At 34.5% G+C, this 26,395-nt stretch overlaps 2 long non-coding RNA genes across 9 annotated transcripts in view; one reads left to right on the top strand and one right to left on the bottom strand.

The window, feature by feature from the left end:
• The window catches only part of LOC105377407 (uncharacterized), a 218,744-nt gene that overhangs the window by 18,568 nt on the left and 173,781 nt on the right, over window positions 1-26,395 (top strand). The gene's annotated exons all lie outside the window — the stretch shown is intronic.
• LOC105377406 (uncharacterized) overlaps window positions 1-26,395 on the bottom strand; it is a 129,167-nt gene that overhangs the window by 80,107 nt on the left and 22,665 nt on the right. Inside the window, exons 2-4 of one of the 8 annotated variants that reach the window (XR_001741817.2) lie at window positions 23,625-25,692; window positions 23,070-23,160; window positions 5,526-7,828 (exon numbers count right to left, since the gene is read on the bottom strand). This is a non-coding gene — a long non-coding RNA (uncharacterized LOC105377406). The other 7 variants (XR_001741819.2, XR_001741815.2, XR_001741820.2 and 4 more) reach the window with 7 other exon arrangements.

Here is a 26,395-nt window from a genome sequence, read left to right as displayed (position 1 = left end):
TTTTGTCCTTGTGATAGTTTATTAAGAATGATGATTTCCAATTTCATCCATGTCCCTACAGAGGACATGAACTCATCATTTTTTATGGCTGCCTAGTATTCCATGGTGTATATGTGCCACATTTTCTTAATCCAGTCTATCATTGTTGGACATTTGGGTTGGTTCCAAGTCTTTGCTATTGTGAATAGTGCCACAATAAACATACGTGTGCATGTGTCTTTATAGCAGCATGATTTATAGTCCTTTGGGTATATACCCAGTAATGGGATGGCTGAGTCAAATGGTATTTCTAGTTCTAGATCCCTAGGAATCGCCACACTGACTTCCACAATGGTTGAACTAGTTAACAGTCCCACCAACAGTGTAAAAGTGTTCCTATTTCTCCACATCCTCTCCAGCACCTGTTGTTTCCTGACTTTTTAATGATTGCCATTCTAACTGGTGTGAGATGGTATGTCATTGTGGTTTTGATTTGCATTTCTCTGATGGGCAGTGATGATGCAAGGCTGGTTCAATATACGCAAATCAATAAATGTAATCCAGCATATAAACAGAACCAAAGACAAAAACCACATGATTATCTCAATAGATGCAGAAAAGGCCTTTGACAAAATTCAACAACCCTTCATGCTAAAAACTCTCAATAAATTAGGTATTGATGGGACGTATCTCAAAATAATAAGAGCTATCTATGACAAACCCACAGCCAATATCATACTGAATGGGCAAAAACTGGAAGCATTCCCTTTGAAAACTGGCACAAGACAGGGATGCCCTCTCTCACCACTCCTATTCAACATAGTATTGGAAGTTCTGCCCAGGGCAATTAGGCAGGAGAAGGAAATAAAGGCTATTCAATTAGGGAAAGAGGAAGTCAAACTGTCCCTGTTTGCAGATGACATGATTGTATATCTAGAAAACCCCATTGTCTCAGCCCAAAATCTCCTTAACCTGATAAGCAACTTCAGCAAAGTCTCAGGATACAAAATCAATGTACAAAAATCACAAGCATTCTTATACACCAATAACAGACAAACAGAGAGCCAAATCATGAGTGAACTCCCATTCACAGTTGCTTCAAAGAGAATAAAATACTTAGGAATCCAACTTACAAGGGATGTGAAAGACCTCTCCAAGGAGAACTACAAACGACTGCTCAATGAAATAAAAGAGGATACAAACAAATGGAAGAACATTCCATGCTCATGGGTAGGAAGAATCAATATCGTGAAAATGGCCATACTTCCCAAGGTAATTTATAGATTCAATGCCATCCCCATCAAGCTACCAATGACTTTCTTCACAGAATTGGAAAAAACTACTTTAAAGTTCATATGGAACCAAAAAAGAGCCCGCATTGCCAAGTCAATCCTAAGCCAAAAGAACAAAGCTGGAGGCATCACACTACCTGACTTCAAACTATACTACAAGGCTACAGTAACCAAAACAGCATGGTACTGGTACCAAAACAGAGATATAGATCAATGGAACAGAACAGAGCCCTCAGAAATAACGCCACATATCTACAACTATCTGATCTTTGACAAACCTGAGAAAAACAAGCAATGGGGAAAGGATTCCCTATTTAATAAATGGTGCTGGGAAAACTGGCTAGCCATATGTAGAAAGCTGAAACTGGATGCCTTCCTTACACCTTATACAAAAATTAATTCAAGATGGATTAAAGACTTAAACGTTAGACCTAAAACCATAAAAACCCTAGAAGAAAACCTAGGCATTACCATTCAGGACATAGGCATGGGCAAGGACTTCATGTCTAAAACACCAAAAGCAATGGCAACAAAAGCCAAAATTGATAAATGGGATCTAATTAAACTAAAGAGCTTCTGCACAGCAAAAGAAACTACCAACAGAGTGAACAGGCAACCTACAAAATGGGAGAAAATTTTTGCAACCTACTCAGCTGACAAAGGGCTAATATCCAGAATCTACAATGAACTCAAACAAATTTACAAGAAAAAAACAAACAACCCCATCAAAAAGTGGGCGAAGGATATGAACAGACACTTCTCAAAAGAAGACATTCATGCAGCCAAAAGACACATGAAAAAATGAATTTATTATTATAATTTATATTTTAAAAGACTTCCATCACTCTCTGGAAATCAATATGTATTTTCTCCTGGAGGAAATACATGCTCGTATTTATTAATCTATGAAAAGTATAATACAATGTCTACTTTTCATTTTGTGTTACTAGCACATTCATATTTCTATAAAATTTTTTCTCTCTCAGGATAGCAGTACTAAGTTTATTGCTCCCTATCGTATTCCTAATAGTAGTAAATAATTTTATGATTATACTGCAGATGGGAACATTTATTTACTCTTTTCCAGGTACTTTGACCTACTTTTGTGATTGCCACAAAACCTTGAAATGTGTTTATCTCCCAATTTTGCTCATCAGGGCAGAGAGCTTGGAAAGGTAGTTTCTTGCAGAAGATCACAAAGCTAGCAGATTGCCAAGTGAAGTCCCTAATGTAGGCCTTCTATCTCCAAAGATCACACTCTTTTCCTTATAGTGGGATGCCTCTCATGTTTACCAATTAAAAATGCTACACTTTGGTGAAATCACGTCTTATTTATCTTGCCTAAGTTAAATTCTAAATCACAATTGTGATTCAAATAATCAAGTTATGCCACGGTCACAACCCAAATTATTTTGAGTGGGTGGGTAGATGGTGTTAAAAGTGGGAATTTTGTTTGATTTTGTTTTTATTGTCATAATGTGTTTTCTGGCTATTGTTACAAGCTTATGAATTATCATAATTACATCTTGTTTTTGGCAAAAATAAAAATAAAAATCCAGTGACAAATTGGAAACTTGAAGGATGAGCTTACAGCTGTGCCCCATGCATAGCTGACCGAAGATGTCAGCTAAAGACCACTGGAAAATCTGCCTCATTTCTTTTAAAAGACAAAAACTTTCATTTAGAGGGCATGTACAATGATCTAGTAATAACAGGATGTTTCTTGGTGGACCAGATTTTTTTTATTAATGTGATGTGTTGCTAAAGATTATTCTTCACATATATGTTTCGTTTTATTGGGAACTATAATGACACTATGGAATGCTCCAAGAATGGCAAAACAAAGTTTATAATTTCAGATCTTTCAGTATTTCTTTGTTGATTTAAGTGAATCACAAGACCTGGTAGTTTACTTAGTCCTGCAGTACCAGATTCAAATAGTTGTAGGAATTGTAAATACCAAGTGCTTACCTTTCTGAGCTTTTGGATTCCTCATGCATTGTCTTTCTTATGTAGAACTCGAGACTAAGGGGGCATGAAATCCAGATTAAAATTAAACCAATATATGCCTGACACCCAAGACTACAGCTTCCATTCTAGAATTTCATTCTAGAAGCATCTCAGGAAAGAGCAATTATATTCTATGCCACTATATACCAAGCACTGTCCAAGGCTCTTTCTTTATGGTGACTTCATTTAATTCCCCAGTAAACCAATGAGAGAGGTAGACTACAGCAAAAGATACTAAGGCTCAGAAAGTTAATAGCCCATGCAAGATCACAAAGTTAGTAACTGGAGGAACTGAAATTCAAACACTGTGCAGAAATAACTTGTATGCCTGTGTACTGCTAAGCTTCTATCATTTGTTTTCCAAATACCGAACAGAGTTCATTACTACAATGTCTTGGGCATCATTCAAAATAAAATTTGGTAATGTACTTTGATACTTTGTAATAGTTATTCTTCAAACCTTAGCTTTTGTTTGAGGAATGGACTTTTCTCTCTCTTTGGAAATAAGAAGATAGATGCTCATAGGAGGAAGGGTTCCATTTCTCCCACAACAAAAAGAATACACAACAGGAAAAAGATAGTCTCTTCAATAACTGATGTTGGGAAAACTGGATACCCATATGCAGAAGAATGAAATTGGGTCTTTATTTTACACCATATACAAAAATACATTTATTTTCCTGTGTACCAGCTCCTTAGTTTGAAGTAATCCTGTTTGTTGATTTTTGTTGCCTGTGCTTTTGGGGTCAAATAAAAAAAAATTATTGTCCAGACCAATGTTGTGTAGTTTTTCTCCTGGGGTTTTCTTATAGCAGTTTTACAGTTTCTAGTCTTATGTTTCAGTGTTTAACACATTGTGAGTTTATTATTGTGCACTGTGTGATGTAAGGATCCAATTTTATTGTTCTACATGTGGATATCCAGTTTTTCCAACACATTTATTGACAAGACTATCTTTTCTCGTTGTGTATTCTTGGCACCTATGTTGAAAATCAATTGATTGTACATATGTTGGTTCATTTCTGGGCTTTCTACTATGTTACATTTGTTGATGTGTCTATTTTAATGCCAGTAACATGCTACTATAATTATTATAGCTTTGTAGTACAGTTTGAAATCGGCTAGTGAGATACCTCCAGCTTTGTTCTTTTTGCTCATGATTGCCTTAACTATTCAGGGATTTTTTTTGTTTGTTTCATATAAGTTTCAGAACTTTTTTTTCTATTTCTGTGAAAACTGTCATTGGAATATTGATAGGGTTTACATTGAATTTGTAGAATGCTTTGTGCAATATAGTCATTTTAACAATATTAATTCTTCCAATCTATGAACAAAATCCATTAATTTTTGTCTTTTTCCATTCCTTTCATCAATGTTTTATAGTTTTCAGTATACATGTCTTTTACCTCCTTGGTTAAATGTATTCCTATTTATTGTAACAATTGTAAATGGAATTTTTCTCTTCATTTCTTTTTCAGATAGTTCATAGTGTATAGAAATACTACTAATTTTTGTATGTTTATTTTGTGTCATGCAACTTTATGGAATTCATTTACTAGTTCTAACAGCATTTTGGTAGAGTCTTTAAGGTTTTCTATATATGAGATCATGTCATTAGCAAACAAGGACAATTTTACTTTTGCTTCTCTATTTGGATGTTTTTTATTTCTTTCTCTTGCCTAATTGCTCTGACAAGGACATCCAATACTATGTTAAGCAGAAACCGTAAGAGTGGGTATCTTTATTTCAAATCTTAGAAGAAAGGCTTTCAATTTTTCACTGTTGAGTATGTTACTTGTGGCCTTCTCACATAGGTCCTTTATTGTGTTGAGGTATTTTCCTTCAACCCCTAATTTGGTGTGTTTATTTTAAAAGGATATTGAACTTTGTCAATACTTTGTCTGCATTTAATCAGATGATTGTGCGGTTTGTCCTTCATTCTGTTAATGTGTTATAGCACATTTATTGATTTATGTGTGTTGAAAACCCATTCCATATCACAGGTAAATCCCATCTTTTTAATACACTCTTGAATTTGATTTGTCAGTATTTTGTTGAGAATTTTTGCACCTATGTTCATTAAGGATATTGACCAGCAATTTTCTTTTCTTGTGGTATCCCTATCTGGCTTTAATATCCAGAAAATGCTGGCCTTGCAAAAAGGAGTTTGAAAGTATTTCTTGCTCTCAGTTTTTTGGAAGAGTTTAAGGATTGATGTTATATTAATCTTCTTTAAAAGTTTGGTAGAATTTAGCAATAAAACCATCAGGTCTTGGGCTTTTCTTTGATGGGAAACTTTTCATTACTGATTCAATCTTCTTACTCATTATTGGTGGTGTGTTCCAATTTTCATTTCTTCACAATTCAGCCCTGGTATTTTGTTTCTAGAAATTTGTCCATTTCTTCTAGATTATCCACTTTGTTGGTATATGATTGTTCATTGTAGTGTCATGATTTTTTTTGGTATCATTTATAAAGTCTCCTCTTTCATTTTTGACTTTATTTATTTTAATCTTTTCTCTTTTTTCTTATTTTAGCTAATGGTTTGCTGATTTTATATTTTCAAAAAACGAACTCTTAGTTTATTGATCTTTTGGATTGTTTATCTAGTCTATGTTTAATTAATTCTGCTTGGATCTTTATTGTCTCCTTCCCTCTGTTAACTTTGGGCTTAGTTTCTCCTTTTTTCCTACTTCTTTGAGGAATAACATTAAGTTGATTGTTTGAAATCTTTCTTCTTTTTTAATGTAAGTTTTTATTGCTAGAAACTTTCCTCTTAGGACTGTTTTTGCCAGAGTTGTTATTCCATAAATTTTAGCATGTTGTGTTTTTATTCTTTTGTCTCCAGAAAAAATTTAACATTCCCTTTTTTTATTGAACCATTGGTTATTCAGCAATATGTTTAATTTTCATGTATATGTGAATTTTTTTGAAATTCCTCCTGTTACTGATTTCTAGTTTCAGACCATTGTAATTGGAAAAGCACTTGACATTCAATCTTATTTAATTTATTAAGACTTGTCGTGTGACATGCCATATGAACTACCTCGGAAAATGTTCCATGTATGCTTGAGAAGAGTGTATATTCTGTTTCTGTTGGATAGAATGTTCTGTATGTGTCTGTTAGGTCTATTTAGTCTAAAGTGTTGTTCAAGTCAGTCCAGTGTTTCCTTATTAATTTTCTGTCTTGATGGTCTGTTCACTGTGGAAAGTGGAGTATTGAAATACCCTACTAGTATTATATATCTCTCTCTCCCTTCATGTTCTTTAATATTTGTTTAATATATTTAGGTGCTCTGATGTTGGGTGCATATATATTTACCATTGTTATATCTTCTTGATGAATTGACCCCTTTATTATTAGATAATGTTCTTTTTTGTCTCTATTTACAGTTTTCTCAACTTAAAGTCTATTTTGCCTGATAAAAGTATAGCTATGCCTGCTTTCTTTTGGTTTCCATTTATATGGAATATCTTTTTCTTTCCCTTCACTTTCAGACTATGTATGTCTCTAAAAGTGAGGCGAGTCTCTTACAGGCAGCAAATAGTTGGATCATGTTTTTTGATTCATTTAGTCAGTCTATGTCTTTTTATTAGAAAATTTAATCCATTTACATTCAAGGTAATTATTGATAGGTAACTACTTAATACTGCCATTCTGTTCATTATTTTCTGGTTATTGTATAGATATTTTGTTTCTTTCTCTCTTGCTATCTTCCTCTGTGGCTTGATGGTTTTTTGTAGTGGTATGCTTTGAATTTTTTCTGTTTTTGTTTTGTTCTTATACTAAACATTTTGGCTTTGTGGTCACCATGAGGCTTACCCAGAACTTATAACAGCCTGTGTAAAACAGATAGTAACTTAATTTTGATTGCATGCAACAAACTCTACATTTTTACTATCGCTCCCTTTTATGTTTTTGATGTCATAATTTACATCATTTTGTAATGTGCATCTCTTGAAAATTTATTTTAGCTATAGTTGATACTCATAGTTTTATATTTTAATCCTTGTGCTAGAAATAAAATTGCTTTACATGCCATCATTACAATCCTAAAGTATTATGAATGTGTCTCTATATGACTTACATCTTTGAGTTTCATGCTTTTGTATGTCTTATGTTATTAATTAGCAGCCTTTTTTCAGCTTAAAGAATTTTCTTTAGTTATTTCTGTAAGGTAGGTCTGGTGGTGATGATCTTCCTTAGCTTTTATTTGTCTGGTAACATTTTTATTTCTTCCTTATTTCTGAAATACAGATTTGCTGCATAAAGTATTCTTGTTTGTCAGGGTTTTTTTCCCCCTTGAGCTCTTTTAATATATGATTCCATTGTCAACTGGCCTGCAGAGTTTCTGCTGATAGTTATATTGACACTCTTTTGTATGTGATGTGTATTTCATTTCCTGCTGTCCTCAGATTTTTTTCTTTGTTTTTTTTTTGTTTGTTTTGATTATTATGTGTCTTGGTGAACACCTCTTTGGGTTGAGTTTCATTGGAGACTTCTATGCTTCTTGTACTGGGGGCAGGGGAAGATGTTATGGGGTAATCTATAAATTAAAAGAGATTTAAGACACATACAAATTAGCAATAAGGTATGGAACTTACTTGATCCTGTATCAAACTAATCAACTTTTAAAAATAAATTTTGAGACAATCAGGGTAATTTGAACACTGATAAGATACTTTATGATATTAAAGAAATATAATTTATTTAGGTTCATATTGATATTGTTGCTATGATTTTAAGTCTTTATATTATAGAAATACAACTTTAGAAATACAACTATAGAAATATTTATAGATGAAATGTCATATTGAGTGAAATTTGTTTTCAAATAATATGAAACAGGAAGGGAAGATTGACCATGAATTGGAAGCTGTGCACAAGGGAATTCCTTATGTAATTGTTTACTTTTGGATATGGTTGAAATTTTTCATAAGAAGAAATTACAAAGAAAACAGAAGAGTAAAATTGTTTGATGTGCCTATTTGTAAGCCTATTTTTGCTTCAATGTAATGAATGAATGTTAATATCCTGGATGAATGAAAAGAGTAGCAGAGGAGATTTGGGAGACTTGGTTGGTAGGCTATTGATTAACACACATCCCCTGGTCACATTACATATTAGGAAACATCTTTCACTTTTCCTTATGAATTTGGATTGTGTAGTCATTACACAGAAAGACTCTGGAGTTAAGGAGTTAAATAAGACTTGGGTTCACATTCTAGCTCTTATACTTAGTAGCTATTTGGCAGCTTCCTGATGGCAATGTATGGCAATGTAGGGCAATGTAGTTATGAGGTTAAACTCATAAGGATCTTTTACTCTGAGCCTAGTCACAGTATATAACAGAAAAACAAAGTTTCCTTTTTATAGATTATGAGGTTAATCTCATTAAGATGAAGAATAATTTGGTGATGTTGTACCCTGAATCACACACACACAGGTTGCTCAAACTTACACCCTGGAAAATATAAATTTGACACATTTAAGTTGTCAAATAGTACAGGGGATTGTAGCTATTGTTAAAAATCCTTCCCTTAGTTTCTTCTATTATTTCAAGGTTAACTCAGTACCCTAGGTAATGGTTGTGGCCAAGACTATAAGTTATCCCTTAATTTTGATTATTACAGCAGCTCATTTTGCAACCCTGTCTTTTGCCATTGATCCCATATTTCCTCATTCTTTAAATAAAGTAAATATCTGGAAAGTACAGGAAAGAATTTTTTTTTCTTTTTGAATTTGGCAAGTGGAATAAAATGAAAGCCAAAGAAAAAGTCTGTCAAAAATATTTTCTTCTCAGTTTCATTGATGACATTCCTGTCAGGTTTTTGGAAAGGCCATAACATACAGATGTTAACTGCTTACTTGGAATTGAAAATACATGTCCATTCCTTGTGGTAAGGAATGAATCAAGCAGTCTGTCTGCAGTCTTGCCCTGATTTTTATGAAACTGACCATACTGAGTTTTACATTAAGTTTTACATTGAGCAATAAATAAGGTCAACATCACCAAAGCTTTGCTGCGAAATAACTCTCAATGTTGCTTTGTGTGACTCAACAAGAATTCACTTTTAATGTCTAGTTCAGTTAGAGACTGATGTGGAAAAGTAATCAATGGCTCTATAATGGAAAATAAAAATTACTACTAATTGTGTGGGACAGAGTGCTGAAACCATACAAGGACCCTGTTTTAATAAATTTTGAAAAGTGGCAAGTATACTGATTGCACATGGGAAAACTCCTGAAGAAAATATCTAAGAAAGAAATAAATCATAAGATTCAAAGCCACACTCTAAGCACTGCCATTTTTAATATCTACATAGTGACTTCAACCAAGATAGAGAACCAAAAATTGCATGCCTCATGGTAACCATCTCTAGCCTGATCTAAAGGTTTCTAATATTCTGCATGTATGCAAACTTCTTTATGACTTTTATTCTCTTTGAAAAACACTGCATGAAGAAGTTGAGATTCCTTCTTCCCTGAGCTTATTTATACTGAACTTATTTATACTGAGTAAATCCATCCAGGGAAATTTTTAAATGAATATTCAATTATTGAGAGCTATCAGTTTTTTTTATTGTGTAGATGAGTATGTGTACAAAGTTAATCTGTACTAGGTTTACAGAGAGATGGGTCATCTCAATATGTGTGCTAGACATCCTTGACAATTCAGCCTCCCAGTCAGGACAGCCTCACTGCCCAAGAATCTCTGCTTCCATTTTCCTTATTCCATCAGCACTTGGCAACCGTGCTTTGGTTGTATTTGCTTGATCAGGTACCAATGATTCTGTTAAATGGAGTTTTTCAAGAATGTCAGTAGGTTTTAGAAACTACCATGTATTAAAACTTTTTCTTCAATTTTTCACACAAAAGTAGAATTTATAAAAAGAGTGCTACTGTTACATTCAGTCATGAAACAAAAAGAGGGATGATTAATTTTGCTTGACCAGATCAAGAAATTCTTCACTGATTTGAATCTTGAGGATTAGAATATAATTATGAGTCTTAAGTGAGGGGAAAAATGAAAGAGAAAGTGCAAAATTTGCTTGATTACTTATGCCCCAGGCCTTTCCACATAAACTAATAGGTGTCAATTAGTTGTCTTATCCCTATCATTCACCTGGACACAATTGTCTCAAGAAGAGACAATTAAAAAGAAAGATATTATTAGATCTATGGAAATGTAGAATGAAACAACATCTGTCAGTAATGTGATTGGTTGACATTTCATAATGGCAACAAGGTGAAATGCAGGATACAGAATTTATTTCAGTTAACAATATGCACAATCACCCAATATTTCTGGAAGAAACCTGTTTGCAGGGATTAATTGAAAGAGAGAAATCAATGCAACAAATATTATTTGAGTGGGTAGCATGTAGATATAAGTAAGGAAGCAATAATTAAATTTTAGAGAGTCAGAATGTTTTACAGAGGTAGCAGGTACCCTGGGTACATTGCTGAGACATGATTTCATTTTTTAATTTTTCAAATGAGCTCAGACAAGGTGTGTTTATGAATAATTAACATCAAAAAATTTAATTCTCGAGGGTCAAAATGATATGCATTGATGTCATTACAGTTATTTTCAACAAAAATCTACATTGTAGTATAATAAATGAGAAATTAGAGTTGATACCTTGACTTTTAGGCATTGTAATGAACACCATAAAAGCCTTCAATAAAAATATTTTATGCAGAAGGTGGAGAAATATAAATAAAATATATATTTCAATTCATTTTATATAAATAGATCATTTCTTATCTCTTGATGTGCAGGTGAGTGGAAGGCAGAGTACAAAAATATTTCAATTCATGAATATTGCTAGTAAATTCCTCTTCTCATTTTCTCCAAGAATGCAACTTGATATAAAATACTTGTCAAAAAATTTATATAAATTCACCAAACTCATAACACATCTGGCCCAGTTATCTTGTATATTAGTTAGAATTAAGTTTGGTTGTGGCAAAACTCTACCTTGTCTGTAACATAAGAAGAAAACAGTAGCATAACTCCTCTTATAGGAAAGTCTTTGTAGGCATTCAGGTGTTGTATAACACTTTTCTGTTACTGTTACTCTAGGCATTGCCTCTACTCTCAATCTACACTCATCTTGCACCAAATCAAATACACTTCCTAAGTAAGTTGGTGTCTCCTGTTCATCCATCACACTGCTCCCTCCTCTTTAGGAATGTGTATCCCTGTAGTTGCCACTTTATATGTGCTTTTATCTTTTTGGCTCAAAATAGCCCCTGGGCTACATCCAGCTTCAAAGGAGACAGGGAAACAGTATTTTTTCTGGTCAGCCATGTGCCTAGATACTCTGCCTCATTCAAGCTAGCTGTGTAAAACATAACCATCAACAAAATCTTAGTGGTCCTTGCCTCAAGGAATTTGTCATCTCATGGATTTGATGAACACATAGTCATATTATTGAGCTCATACTGTGTACTAGTTTTCTGTGGCTCCTGTAACAAGTCACCACAAAATGTGTTGCTTAAAACAACAAAAATTTATTCTCACAAAGTTCTGGAGGCCGAAAGTCCAAAATCAAGGTGTCATTAGGACTCCACACCTTCTGGAAGCTGCAAGAGACAATCCCTTTTTTGCCTTTTCCACCTTCTGGTGGGGGTTGGCATTCCTTGGCTTATGGCCACACTGTTCTCCATTCTGCTTCTATCTTCACATCTCTTTTCTGTGTCTTTTCCTGTTTTGTCTAAGTTTCAGTCTTCTTTTTTCTTACAAGAACACTAGTCATTGGTTTTAGGGCCCACCTGGGTAATCCAGGATGATCTCCTCATTTCAAGATCCTTAGATGAATTACATCTGCAAAGATACTTTTTCCAAATAAAGTAACATTCACAGGTTCCAGGGATTATGACCTAGATATTTCTTCTTGGGTGCCACGATCAATCAACCCATATGTTTTTTCAACTACATATGAAAAAACAATTACATTTTTAAGCTCACTTATACTTCCAGCACAAATTTCAGATAAAATTGTTTTTCATCACTATATATATACACTTTCCTAGGTCTCATGAACTACAGATAGTGAACAATTATACAACCTCTTCCCCTGAGATGTATTATAAATGTTAATAAGTGAAATAATCACGATGAAGTAAATTTAAAATGTTAAAATATTTTACCATTTCTTTTCTTTCAACTTCCTAAAAAATAATTTCAAACAAAAAGGGAGTTCTGCATTTGGGAGCAGAATGCAATCTGTATATATTTCTTTTGTGTCAGGCAAATACATACTCTGATTTATTGGACCTTAATCTGGGATATTTTAGATTCCCAGCACATAACTTGCACTAGATGCAGAAAACATTTATTTATTATTACTTTTAGCTGAGAAAGAGAGATCTTGAATCTACTCAGTAAAGCAAAGTAAATTAAGGTTTTTTGATGCGGGGCATAGGGAGACAGAGAAGAGAAAAGAGTTTCATGAGGCAAAAATTCCCAATTTTCTTTGCAAAATATTTGGTTAGGGTAAGATAAAATTCAGAAAATAATAAAAATTGGAACAAAACTTCCCATTCTACAAATAAAGTGGAGACAAATGATTCATAAAACAGAATATTGACATAGTATATTTTACCTTGAATTGTCCCTTGTACGGTACATACTATTATGTAATAGCACAGTAATCATGTTATATGAGAGCAAAATGAAAAAACAAGACAGCCATATCTCTAAATTTTTATTATATAAGCTTGTACAAATAACTTTTTTGATTTATCTAATACTAAAATTTTTGGTGATGTTACATGAAGTATAAAAAATACAGGTAATTATAATGTGGGAAATAAAAGCTATACCTAATTTAACTAACTATAAATATTTATTTTTAACTAAGATTGAACATGAATATTCTTTGGACCTGTATAACATATATTTAACCTATTGTGACAGCATGTTCTCCGGTAAAGGAATTCCTCATGGTAACAGTCAGGTTGGTGACTTGGTGAACTTCTCATCTCTGAAAAGAACAGAGATGACTGGGGTAATTGTAAGGAAGATTTGTGACAAATCTAAGATTTTACAATTCTCAGCAAATAGATGTGAATGTATAAACAGAATTTAGCTTGGATTGAAAATACTGTGCATTGGAAGTGAATATTTTGAAGCAAAGGATAGTGAAGAAAATATTTGAGGAATACTCAATTCTCAGTTGTCTGCAGAGGTAGCACATTGCAGGGTATGCTATCTATCCAGTACAAGCCAAAGGCTTCTACCCTAGCTCCCTGCTGTTGTAACTGGGAAATATCAGCTACATTTAACTACCTAATTTAAACTTCACTTGAAAGGGACATCTTCTGTATGAAATCATAATAAGCTTATGAATGTCAAATATTTGGAACTATCTATTATTTCAGAATATCAGCCCCCTCATGTCTTTCATTGAGTAATTAAGGTTTGACTACAGTTTTATGTCTTTCTCTGTAAAAGGTATTGCTTTTTGACAGCTCCTTAAATTATCATGTGGAATGCAACTGTTGAATGCATAACTGAAACGGAGATATAGGATGTGAAAAATCACACACTATAATTTTCTAAAATGCAAATCACTTATATTCTGCAGCTATTATGGAATAAAAATCCTAGTAAGAAAGTTGCACAGGAAGTTTCAGACAGAAGATGGAAAAAACAGATTTGCTCCCTTTCTGTCTGTCCCTGTTAGTGATTTTCCAGACACAGTATAGAGGTTCTGGTTTGAAACAGTTTTAGGCAGAGCTTCAGAGAGGTTTTATTCCATAAAAGCACATTATTTCCATTAAAGTCCACAATAAGAGCTGAAGGATATGCCATTCTTTCACGAGAAGCAACACTCATAAATCTTAGTAACATAAGCAATTCTGAAATAAAATCATATTGGAGTGCAGAACCATTTGGGGGCTGCTTTTCACATTTTTTTTTTGAGGAGGCAAAGATTTTCAAAGAAATAGGACTGTGTTTTCAGCCTGCATACTATCTCACACCAGTAATATCTGTTGTCTTTAACCTTTACTTTGTCTAAGTGATGTGTGAACATAAAGTCACCTGAGTGACCCGTTAACGCACCGCAAAAAGTTTTGTGATAACATAAGCAGACTGGGTTCTTGTGAACCAGTAATGAAAATTGCTTCATCAGACTTCTTGATCTCTATAATTTTTCAGGGTCCAAAAATGAAATGTGATTTATAGTTCTATAAATTTCATTGCTTCAGAGTTTTGGTTCTCTAATCTCAGCTGTGAAAGGAGAGCTCAGAAGTTCCTTCACAGATTTTCTTTTAACCAAAGAAATGAATGCATAAATAAACCCCAGCTAAAACTTTCATGTGTTTAATGTCCTAGAAGAGCAAAGTGATTGGCTCAGAATTAAAGGGAAATGTAATGGTTTTTGATACGTTTTGCAAGATGAATAATGAAAAGATTGTGTAAAATAGTGTATGGTGTGATGAAAAAGAATCCCCAAAGTAGTATATCCAATGTCAACATTTTCCCATGGGCTTTGTATTAAGCCCAGAGAAATCCTTTGTGTATGCTTTGTAATTTTTAACTGGAAAGAAAAAGTGAAAGAGAAATATGTTACTTGGGCCACTAACTTGGTATGTCTATTGATTTCTTATAAGTAACCTGGAGCCTAGAGATTGCTGTAGTCAATATATATATAGAAAGAAATACTCAACTGGTGGGATTTCTTTATTAAGCAATTACCCTCTACCTTCTGCAGAGTAAACGCCAATGCTGCATGAAATTAACAGAATTCCACAGCTAGAATTGAACAGAATGATTTGATACTTGTGCTTGGTATTTCTGGAAGGGAAAGATTTTACGAATTTTCATTTCAAGACAGACCAAAATTTAAAACTTGAAGAAGGAATCTGAGTTACTTTGGTTGAAACATTACTGTCTGCAAGTGTAGCAGTAGGCTTTGTTTTTTCTCAGCCTGTGGCAATGGGATGGGTTTTAATAGTAGGTAGCTAACCGCTTCAGTGGAAGTGGGAATTATTTTGTTATCAGTTAGCCATTTGGCAAATATTGTGAAATTAGCAGGGCCTTGAACATTAAAAAGACATTATCATATCTGAAAGTGAATAATGAATGTGATTTTGGCTACATAAAAATTTATTTAAATAAACAACTTCTAGGTTTTTTTGTGTGTGATATGACAGATGTGGTTTCTCTGACATTCTTTTTTTTATTATACTTTAATTTTTAGGGTACATGTGCACAACGTGCAGGTGTGTTACATATGTATACATGTGCCATGTTGGTGTGCTGCACCCTTTAACTCATCATTTAACATTAGGTATATCTCCTAATGCTATCCCTCCCCCCTCCCCCAACCCCACAACAGTCCCCAGTGTGTGATGTTCCCCTTCCTGTGTCCATGTGTTCTCATCGTTCAATTCCCACCTATGAGTGAGAACATGTGGTGTTTGGTTTTTTGTCCTTGCGATAGTTTGCTGAGAATGATGGTTTCCAGCTTCATCCATGTCCTTACAAAGGACATAAACTCATCCTTTTTTATGGCTGCATAGTAATCCATGGTGTATATGTGCCACATTTTCTTAATCCGGTCTATCACTGTTGGACATTTGGGTTGGTTCCAAATTTTTGCTATTGTGAATAGTGCTACAATAAACACACATGTCCATGTGTCTTTATAGCAGCATGATTTATAATCCTTTGGGTATATACCCAGTAATGGGAAGGCTGGGTCAAATGGTATTTCTAGTTCTAGATCCCTGAGGAATCGCCACACTGACTTCCACAGTGGTTGAACTAGTTTACAGTACCACCAACAGTGTAAAAGTGTTCCTATTTCTCCACATCCTCTCCAGCACCTGTTGTTTTCTGACTTTTTAATGATTGCCATTCTAACTGGTGTGAGATGATATCTCATTGTGGTTTTGATTTGCATTTCTCTGATGGCCAGTGATGATGCTTCTGCACAGCAAAAGAAACTACCATCAGAGTGAACAGGCAACCTACAGAATGGGAGAAAATTTTTGCAATCTACTCATCTGACAAAGGGCTAATATCCAGAATCTAAAATGAACTCAAACAAATTTACAAGAAAAAAACAACCCCATCAACAAGTGGGCGAAGGATATGAACAGACACTTCTCAAAAGAAGACATTTATGCAGCCAATAGACACATGAAAAAATGTTCTCTAACATTCTTAATGTGATATTCAACAAAAAATTCCAAAAGTTAACTCTGAAGTAGATTTTAGGAGGCAAATAATTGCAAGTATTTTAAATTAAATTTGTTTTCTTATAAGGACTGTGTAACAAGTAAATATACATAAAAGATGCTCTAACAGAGTTTTAAGATTTAAAGCAATATGTTAGTGAGACCCAAAATTTGAGGGATATAGCACATTTCTAAAATTATAAGTCAAGGATAACAGAGTCTAGATATAGGAAAGTCAGATATTCTTGCTTTGACCTACCATCTATTAACTATTACTGAATAATTCTATTTTTCCAGCCCTTACCTGGTAAAAAAAATTGCAATGAGTGAATTATATTAAATGACCTTAAGTTTTCCTTCTATCACTAAAATGTTTTAATTATGTTGATTAAGAATAAAACATGATTTAACACACAATATTTACTTTTCTACATAACCCTTAAAATTTGGGCAATTTGTAAAGCAAAGTTAAATACATGAAAACTTTCATAGTGTAAACCATAAAGATTCTGAGACAAATCCCAATCAGTTTAGAACTTTATTTGGTCAAGGCTGAGGATGCATGGGAGACAGATCTGTGCCTTTCTCCAATGATGATTTTGAGGGCTTCAATATTTAAATAGGAAAAGCAGGCTGGAGGGGAAATAGGGAGGGTCTGGTCACATTACTAAATCCACATGTTGCAAGATAAAAGAAGTAGTATGGAAATAGTCAATTATGTATTTGTCTCACCTTCAGTAAATTGGCATTTTACACAAGATAAGGTGAACACAGAGTGGAGATATTTGACCTTTTATCTGTAGCTATCTGCTCAGGAACAAAAGCAAAGTCAGTTTCTTGCATGACTCAGCTTTCAGCTTAATTTTTTCCTTTTGGCATAGTGAATTGGGGTCCCAGTTTTTATTTTCCTTTCACAATAGAGATTACAGAAATACCTCAATTCTACTTTGGATTATCATTAATCCAATTATTCATTTAATGTGTCAGACATTTGGTATTATAGGCAGGATCTTGTAGTTGAGTCAGAAGACATTCTACAAATAAATAATTACATGCAACGTAGTAGATGATGCATTAAAGACAATTTAGTATAGTGCATAAGAGCACAGACTTTGGAGTCATTCAATCCCTATGTCTGCCATCTACTTGCTGTGTGAACCTGGTCAAGTTGGTATACTTCTCCAAATCTCAATTTCCTAAAATGGGGATAATAATGATGATTAAATGAGATAATGCATTGTCTCATTCTTAAGAAATGTTTAATATATGTTAAGCATTAAGCTCAATTATGCTCTTAGATGTGCTATAGGAGCATTAAAGGGAAAAGCCAATTGCTATCTGCTTAATTCCAGGAAGAGGAGGTCCAGGGAAGTGTGATATTTGAGCTGGCTTTGAAATAAGAGAGTGAGTTAATTGTGTAGATTAGAGTCAAGGGAAGTGCAACCAAGATAAAATACACACACAGTTACTGAATTAAAAAGAACACATTCTAAGTTAAGGGAATATAAATGGTTTCTTGGCTGGAGAAGTATGTATGTATGTATGTATTGGTATAAAAAGAGGGGGTTTGGAAATTGAGGCTAACGCTTTAACGTAAATGTGAAATGCTATGAAATACCTTGTGTACAAAGAATTTAGAGTTTAATCCTTCTGGAAACATCAGTGAAACACTCAAGGTTTCCACATAGTAGTAGGATGACACTATCAACAGACTTACTGATGTAGGAAGGTCATGTTCAAGACAGTGTGGAAAACCGATGAATGCAATTGAGATTGGTAGCAGTGAGATGCCAGTTAGAATATTCCAGGCAAAAACTGATAAAGGCCAAACCCAAGGTTGAAATAGTAGACATGGAAGGAAGAGAGATTTAAGAGAGAGTTCTGAGGTAAATAGATGCATGTATTAGGGTTCTCCAGAGAAACAGAACCAATTGTATGTGTGTGGGAGGCAGGGAGAGAAAGAGACAGAGGGTAGAATTTATTTTAAGGAATTGGCTCACATGATTATGGAAGCTGTCAAATACAAAATCAGCAGGATGAAACAGCAGGCTGGCAACTCAAGAAAGAGCCAGTGCTGCAGTTCAAGTCTGAAAGCTGTCTGCCAGCAGAATTTCATCTTGCCCAGGGTAGGTTGGACTTTTGTTCTATTCAGGCCTTCAACTGATCATATGAGGCTCACCTACGTTATGCAGGGCAGTGTGCTTTACTCAACATCTACCGACTTAAATGTTAATTTCCTCCAAAAACACCCTCACGGAAACACCCAGAATAATATTTTACCACATATCTGGGCACTGTATCCCAGCCAAGTTGACACATAAAATTAACCATCATGGGCATGTGTTGATGATGAACTGGAAAAAACAAAAATGAGGAGAGCAAGAAGCTGAAAATGAACAAGGTTTCCCCCTTGGTATAGGAAGAAGCATTATCTGAAGTAAGAGAAAAGGAAGAGACAGACTGTGGATGGAAGAGTTAGAGTTGAATAATTTTGATTGATTATATTGAATTTGAAATGACCGTGGATAATCCAAGTGAAATGTTTCTTAGAAAATTTGAGGTATTGGTCTGAAGTTTAGATAAGAAGCCAGGGTTAAGAATAAAGACTCAGACTAATATCCAGCATCTATAAGAAACTTAAACAAATTTACAAGAAATAAACAAACCCATTAAAAAGTGGACAAATACATGAACAGACATTTTTCAAAAGAAGACATACATGCTGCCAACAATGCTACAGAAAAAGCTCAACATCACTGATCATTAGAGAAATGCAAATTAAAACCATAGTAAGATACCATCTCACACCAGTCAGAATGGCTATTACTAAAAAGTCAAAAAATAACTGGTGCTGGCAAGGTTGTGGAGATAAAAAGGAATGCTTATACACTGTTGGGAGTGTAAATTAATTCCACCATTGTGGAAAACAGTATGGTAATTTAATTAGCTAAAAACAGAGCTACCATTTGATTTATTAGTGGATATATATGCAAAGGAATATAAATCACTGTATCATAAAGACACATGCATACATATGTTCCTTGCAGTACTATTCACAATAGCAAAGACATGAAATCAACCTAAATGCTCATCAATCGTAGACTGGATAAGGAAAATGTGGTACATATACACCATGGAATACTATTCAGCCATAAAAAGAATGAGATCATGTACTTTGCAGGAACATGGATGAAGATAGAAGCTATTATCCTTAGCAAAATAATGCAGGAGCAAAAAACCAAATACTGCATGTTCTCACTTATAAATAGGAACTAAATTATGAGAACACATAGATATATAAAGGGAAACAACACACCCTGGGGCTTATTGGAGGGTGAAGGCTGGGAGGAGAAAGAGGATTAGGAAAAATAACTAATGGGTACTAGGTTTAATAGTTGGGTGACGAAATAATCTGTACAGCAAACCCCCCGTGACCCAAGTTTACCTGTGTAACAAACCTGCACATTTACCCCTGAACTTAAAATGAAAGTTAATAAAAAGAGAGTAAAGACTCAGAAACCAATGGTCTTTCAGCTGAGAACATAGATAAAATTTATGAAAGTAGTGATTCTCAAACCTAAAGCTCATAAGAATCATCTGTGAAGTATTTTAAAAATACAGATTCTGGTCCCCACCCTTGGAAACATTAAGTCAGAATTTTCAGAGCTGTAGCTCAGGCATTCAATTTAGAAAGTCCCATAAATGCAGCCAAGTTTGAGAGACTCTAGCTTGAAGTTTGAAGACTGCTGGCTTAAAGAACAGATCATGAAGCAAAATAAGAGACTAAGGAAAAAGGATAAAATGTAGAGAGTAGCACATTTTAAAAGGAATAGATTAGGAGAACCCATAAAAGTAATCAGCAGGAAATCAAGGAGGAGGAACCTTATCTGGAAACCAAATTAAGGAGAGCTGGGCTAACAGCATCGAATGTGGAAATGATGTCAGTAAAGATAAGGAATGTGAAAGACATTCAACTCAGTTTTCCTCAATTAAAGCTCATTTTGATCTATTAATAGCAAAAGGAGCATTTGGGTCTTAGGAGTAGTAAACTCCATTTTCTATTTCCCAGTCCCATTTGCAGGTTCCCCAGAGCCAAAAGCAGCTGTTTTACCAGATGGCTGCTGGCCAGAACATTTTTTTTGTTTGTTTCACTGAACTAGGAAGTAAGACAGGCACAAAACAAGATATAAAAATCAAAGAAAAAGACTGAATAAACCATGTCATAGACGTCAGCCTGATCATTATGTTTAGAAACCAGCAGGATGACACGAAAAAGTCACTGTATGTATCTTCCAGCTGGAAAATGTTTCTAACTAAAGAAAGGAGGCCAGAGAATTTTCAAAAGAATTGTTGAGACTATAAGCAGTAAAGGGAATGTCACAAGTCCTACCTCAATGTCACTACAACAAATATCAGCCTTATGTCAAAAGTATCCTGCATTCACTTTGCCTTACATTAAGACTTTGCCTCACAGCCAAGCCCTAAAGGGAAGATGCTATGGAACCACAGCTACAATATAGTCAAAACTTGACTCTGAAAGCTTAAGTCCATGCAATTAAACTTCTCAAAGCCAACCTAGGAAACAGGCCATTGTCTCCTCTGCAGGGGAACAACCACTGATAACATTTCGCCCTCATTCTGGTAGGCCAGTAGTGTCTGCATTACTTCAGTCAGGAAATTAATAGGAATTCACTGGAATTGAACACATAATTGCACTCTGATCCACTAGGTTCTACCCACTGAAGTAACTAGTACCTTTGAAACATTACTGGGACATTCAGAAAGCTGTCCCATACAGAAAGCTGGGTCACCTGTACTTTCCTAAATCTTTAATTTGCTAATTTAGAGGCATATATATATATATAAAAATACATATTATATACAAATATATACAGTTGAGAAGTCTCTTGCTTGAAAAAAATGAGTGAAGAGGACCAATCCCATCTTCCACCTTTTGTGATATATATTTTTTTTTAACTGAGATGGAGCTTCGTTCCTGTCGCCCAGGCTGGAATGCAATGGCGCAATCTGGGCTCACTGCAACCTCCGCCTCCCGGGTTCAAGCGATTCTCCTGTCTCAGCCTCCCAAGAATCTGGGATTACAGGCATAACCCACCACACCCAGCTAATTTTTGTATTTTTAGTAGAGACTGGCTTTCACCATGTTGGTCAGGCTCGTCTCGAACCCCTGACCTCAAGTGATCCACCCGCCTCAGCCTCCCAAAGTGCCAGGATTACAGGCATGAATCACCACGCCCGGCCTGTGATAATTAATTATATTGGAAATATTTCCTGCTTTGGAAGACCATCTAAAACAAAATTTCACCAATAGTAATATATTAATGAGAAAACGTGGCTGGTTTTAATTCAGAAGACTCTCATTACTGCCAATATTTTTATTATATCAGTCAAATTAAATGGTCCTGGAAAGCATCATCAATCCACTCTTTCAATATTTCTCTAAGTCAGTCAAACATCTATTTCCTTCTAATTTAGTTCTTCTCCTATGTAGTAGAGGCATAATGCTGAAGCTAATGCTTTCTGTATACCAGAGTTTAATCAAATAAGCAACATTCAGGTACTGATTTGAAAATCGGGATCTTGCCTGATAAAATGAGCTCCTCCTCACAATTCAAGATTGCCCCATTCACATTCTATAATTTCCCAATTTACTAAGAATAAGACCCATACACATGGGGTAAACTCCTACACAAATGGTCTTTGTTTATTATCCATTAATGACTGTCTTAAATTTCAACCCACCAGGATGTCACTGCAGATTAAAATTGACAGCCAAAGGGGGCTTTGGTGGTTAATTCAAATTTTTGAATTCATAGATTTGAATGAGAGAATTGAAATAGAGAAGTACCTTGTCCAGCATCTCACATCCAGTAAGAGATAGAGCCAGGACTTGAATTCAGATCTTGAGTACACATAAGCTTTCTTTTTCCTACTATGTCAAGGTACTGCTATAATTCTCTAAGCAATTTATGACTTCATGCTTCTTCCCTGTCTGACAAGTTCACACTGCCCCAATTAGGATACATTTTTTCTTTTTGTGCAGTTCCTTAGCATCTGCCTTTTCATTTTGCCTCTCCAGCAACTCCTTTCTCCATCTCTTCAATGTGATTTATTTCTCAGTATGTCCGAACACATTTACATTTCTATCCCGAACTTCAACCCTGTCATCAAAAAGAATATTTTGGCTAGTTCTTTTCTCAGAGGCAGATCAGTTTTATAGGGATCTGAGGTAATCTGCACTTAAAGTTTTACTCTGGGGTGACTCTAGTCTCTGCAAAAACATATTTTCTATCTTGGTCTTTGGGTTATGAAATTCTTAGTGGTATCATGGGAAGATTCAGGAAAGCTGAGAATTTATCATGGATTTTATATATTTTAGCATGCCCCAAAATGCAGAGCCATGTTATATTTAGACTATTGCCATATAAAATAATTGTTTATTGCTTCATATAATGTATATGTTATATGCCAACTCCGATTTGAATGGAAGTCTATTTGCTCCATGATAGATGTTCTCCTGATTCCAGAACTCTAAGAAAGAGAATATGACATGAGCAGCTACTTACCTCTTAACTTCCAGAAACTTGTTCATGTATATTACAGGGTTCTGTTGAGCTGCAAGTGACAGTAGAAACAGACATACATATATTGGTTCACCTGGATATAAAACATAAGCAAACAGTAATATACATTTATACTATTTAATTATAAAAGCAGGTTTTTTGTTAATTTTACATTAACTATCCAGAAATATCCAAAGTATTGTTACTGAAATCTCAGTTTTAATTATTAAATAGTTAAAGAGTATAAGGCTTATGTATTTACACAATTTCATTCCTGTAATCTAGTCAGAAAAGGATAAGGGACCGATGGCTGAAAGCTTGGGAATCCTTGCATCATCCACAACTGGCTTACGACAAGAAATCAAACAAGGTAGCTTATAAAAATCAAGAGTGGAATTTTAAAAATAAAAACTAAATAAGTTAAAAATATATTCCTTTTAAAAAAGGATAGACCTTCACGTTCAATAAAATCCGCTTACAACATTTTTATTCAGTCACTTGAAATTCACTGTGGGAATGTTTCATGTGTAAATCCTCACACTTTCTCTCACTACATACCTCTTAAAAGAAGCAAAACAGCAACAGCAAACAGAGGCCATGTGTACATCCTGGAAAGCAGCCTTCTCCTTGGTCTTGATTGATGATGGCAGTTCAAATCTACCTGAATCTCTCCCATCACATTCTTAATGCTGAAGAGCTGCTTGTATGTTCCCTTAACCCAGCCACAGGAGATTTATGGGTGTGCACACCCATAAAACAGAAGGTTGAAAAAAACAGGTTTGCAGTCCCGTGTAAAGGCAGCAGATGCAGTTGTAGGCACCATGGTTAGCATAAACAAGCACAGAAAAAAAAATTTCTATTTTCCTGCAAAGCTGAAGCGCAGACTGAACAAGATAGACATACAGATAAAGAAGACCAACCACAATAGGAGTGTACCAGGAAATATATTAGGTGCCCATCCAATTGTCTTACGTGGTCAAATACAAAAGTAATCCACGTACAGGGTCAATGGTGGCCTTCATTCCTGATTTTTTCTGGTGAGGTTTTCATTGAAACCTGAGTACTCTTCCCACATTAAAATGTCCGCTTTTGAAACTAAGTTACTACTTAAATGGAAACATTAAAGAGGCATTAGCATGAAAGAGGGAAAAGACCATTATGTCATCCAGCTCACTTCCTTGCCAAGTAATGAATATTGCCCTCATTTCTCTTCCCAAAGTGTTGGTCAAATCCTGTTTTTAAAGCCTCAGAGATGGGCATCTATCCTCTCCCTCAGAGGATATTTATTCCACATTTTAATAGTTTTCACAATTAGGAAACTTTTCCTGAAAGTCTGTCCAATTTTTCTTTGCTTAATTTCTTTCCATGGCCATTTAGTAATGGCTCAGAGTTCTGAAAATCTTTCACAGGCAGTTGATCTGGAAAAGGGTGGCTTCAAGTGTGCATGATGAGACTGGGGGAAGCATGCCTATGAGGAGCATCTGAAATCACTTGAATTTCCTCTATGACTTCTGTGTTTACCTTATCACATATCATATCTATATGTAAAACCATGAACTTGAGTTTGTAGAAATTATCTGAAATCTTCCATAGAACACTGTTTTTTGGTTTGAAAACAAATTAACACAGGTCATAGAATAGTACTAAGGAAAAATCAGTTATTTGTAGCCAACTTTACCAAGTTTGTGGTCCTATTTTTTTTTCCACTATAGTGGGTGAAGGTTGGTGAGGGCATTAAAGGAATGAGTAAACCAGAGAAATAATTTACTCCTCAAAACAGTCTTAAATATCAATTCAAGGAAATCAAAATTTGTGCCGTTGCTATGGAAATCAGTGAATAGTAAAGGTAATTACTTTAATAAATTCTTTCATAGCACATTCACTGCAAAATACTTCTGTCTCTAAATAGTCTGAGGTATTTGGTTTCTCTTGGAACGTTCTCTAAAATGTTCTAAGTATTTAAATTCCTTCTCTCTTGCCCCTAACCCTCATACTGGACATGATATTTATTAATAAAAACAATAAATTAGATACTCTCAGAGATTCACAGTTAATGCTAAATGAACCCTGTCCTTTTATATGTATGTTTAACTCTGAACAAACTAATACTTTGACTCTGCTTCTTACATATTCTGCAGCGCAGTTTAATATGTCTTCCCAGTCAATTCACAGATATTGCTGAGTGGATGGGGTTGAGGTAGGTACACATAGTAGATATTCATTTTCTGCAGGAAATTAGCCTAGCCAAATACTTAGTACTAGATAGTTATTTAGTGTCTTCTTTTTATAATTTGGTTTTATTGTTACCTTTCTAATAAAATACTTGTTCTTTCACATTGATTTTATATTATAAACATATAAAGGTTGAAGAGTGTTTTATGGACTTCATGACAAATAAGCTATATTAAATTTATACAATATCTTTTAAAGTCGTATCTGTTTAAATGTTTCATATATTTTTTTCCTGCTAAATAGAAAGGTTAATTGGTTAAAAAAGTTCTGATAGATGAGAACACTACTGGGAGGCTGGCCTTAGAGGTAGAATAATAATAGCAGTAGTCTGAGAAAGCTATAAAGAAAGCGAGGTATTTTCTTACCTATACTTCTTGGTCCACAACAATCAGTCCTGCCGTGTACATGTAGAAACCAATATGTTATGAGAATTATCAATGATCATGTGAAAAGTAAGCATTCATGATGATTCACATTTTTTTAAAGCATGTTCTAACATTTTACTTTACAAATTTAAAGAAGGAAGATCTAGATGTTTCTGTTGTTCTCTAAGATATTTTTTAATTGTGCTAATATAATTAGAATATGGAGTTTTAATAGATAATTACAATACGTATTTAATACTCCTGTCAAAGATTCATTATCCTCAGGATTCTAAAAGGAATTTTATAGTTCGTATGTAAAAAAAGAATTACAAAACAAGTTGTGTTCATTCACTCAAAAAGTATTTATAGAGCCTTTATAATGCAGTATGACATTAGTGTGAGGACGTATGTTGAGTAAAGTTATCACGCTGACTTCCACCTTCATGGGGCTTTCAATTAGGGAAGATCCTCATTAATTACATGATCACATAAAAATGTACAATTGCAATTCTGTGAAATACTCTGAGTATGTGTCATGCAGTTCAAAGTCCCTGGGGAAGGAAGAAGTATAAGGAACTAAAGTAAACCAGTGAGGCTGAATCCCAGAGGGCAGAGTTTTGGAGAACAGGTTATAGCTTTGTATAAATGTCCTGTAAGAGATAAAAAGCACTGGAATTATTAAGCAGAAGAAACACTGGATTTTTCTTTTGAAAAAGTAATTCTGGCTGCAGA

This window comes from Homo sapiens, chromosome 4 (genome assembly GCF_000001405.40).
Source record: "Homo sapiens chromosome 4, GRCh38.p14 Primary Assembly".
In the NCBI taxonomy this organism is placed as follows: Eukaryota; Metazoa; Chordata; class Mammalia; order Primates; family Hominidae; genus Homo; species Homo sapiens.
This window is presented reverse-complemented; position numbering and strand designations above follow the sequence as displayed.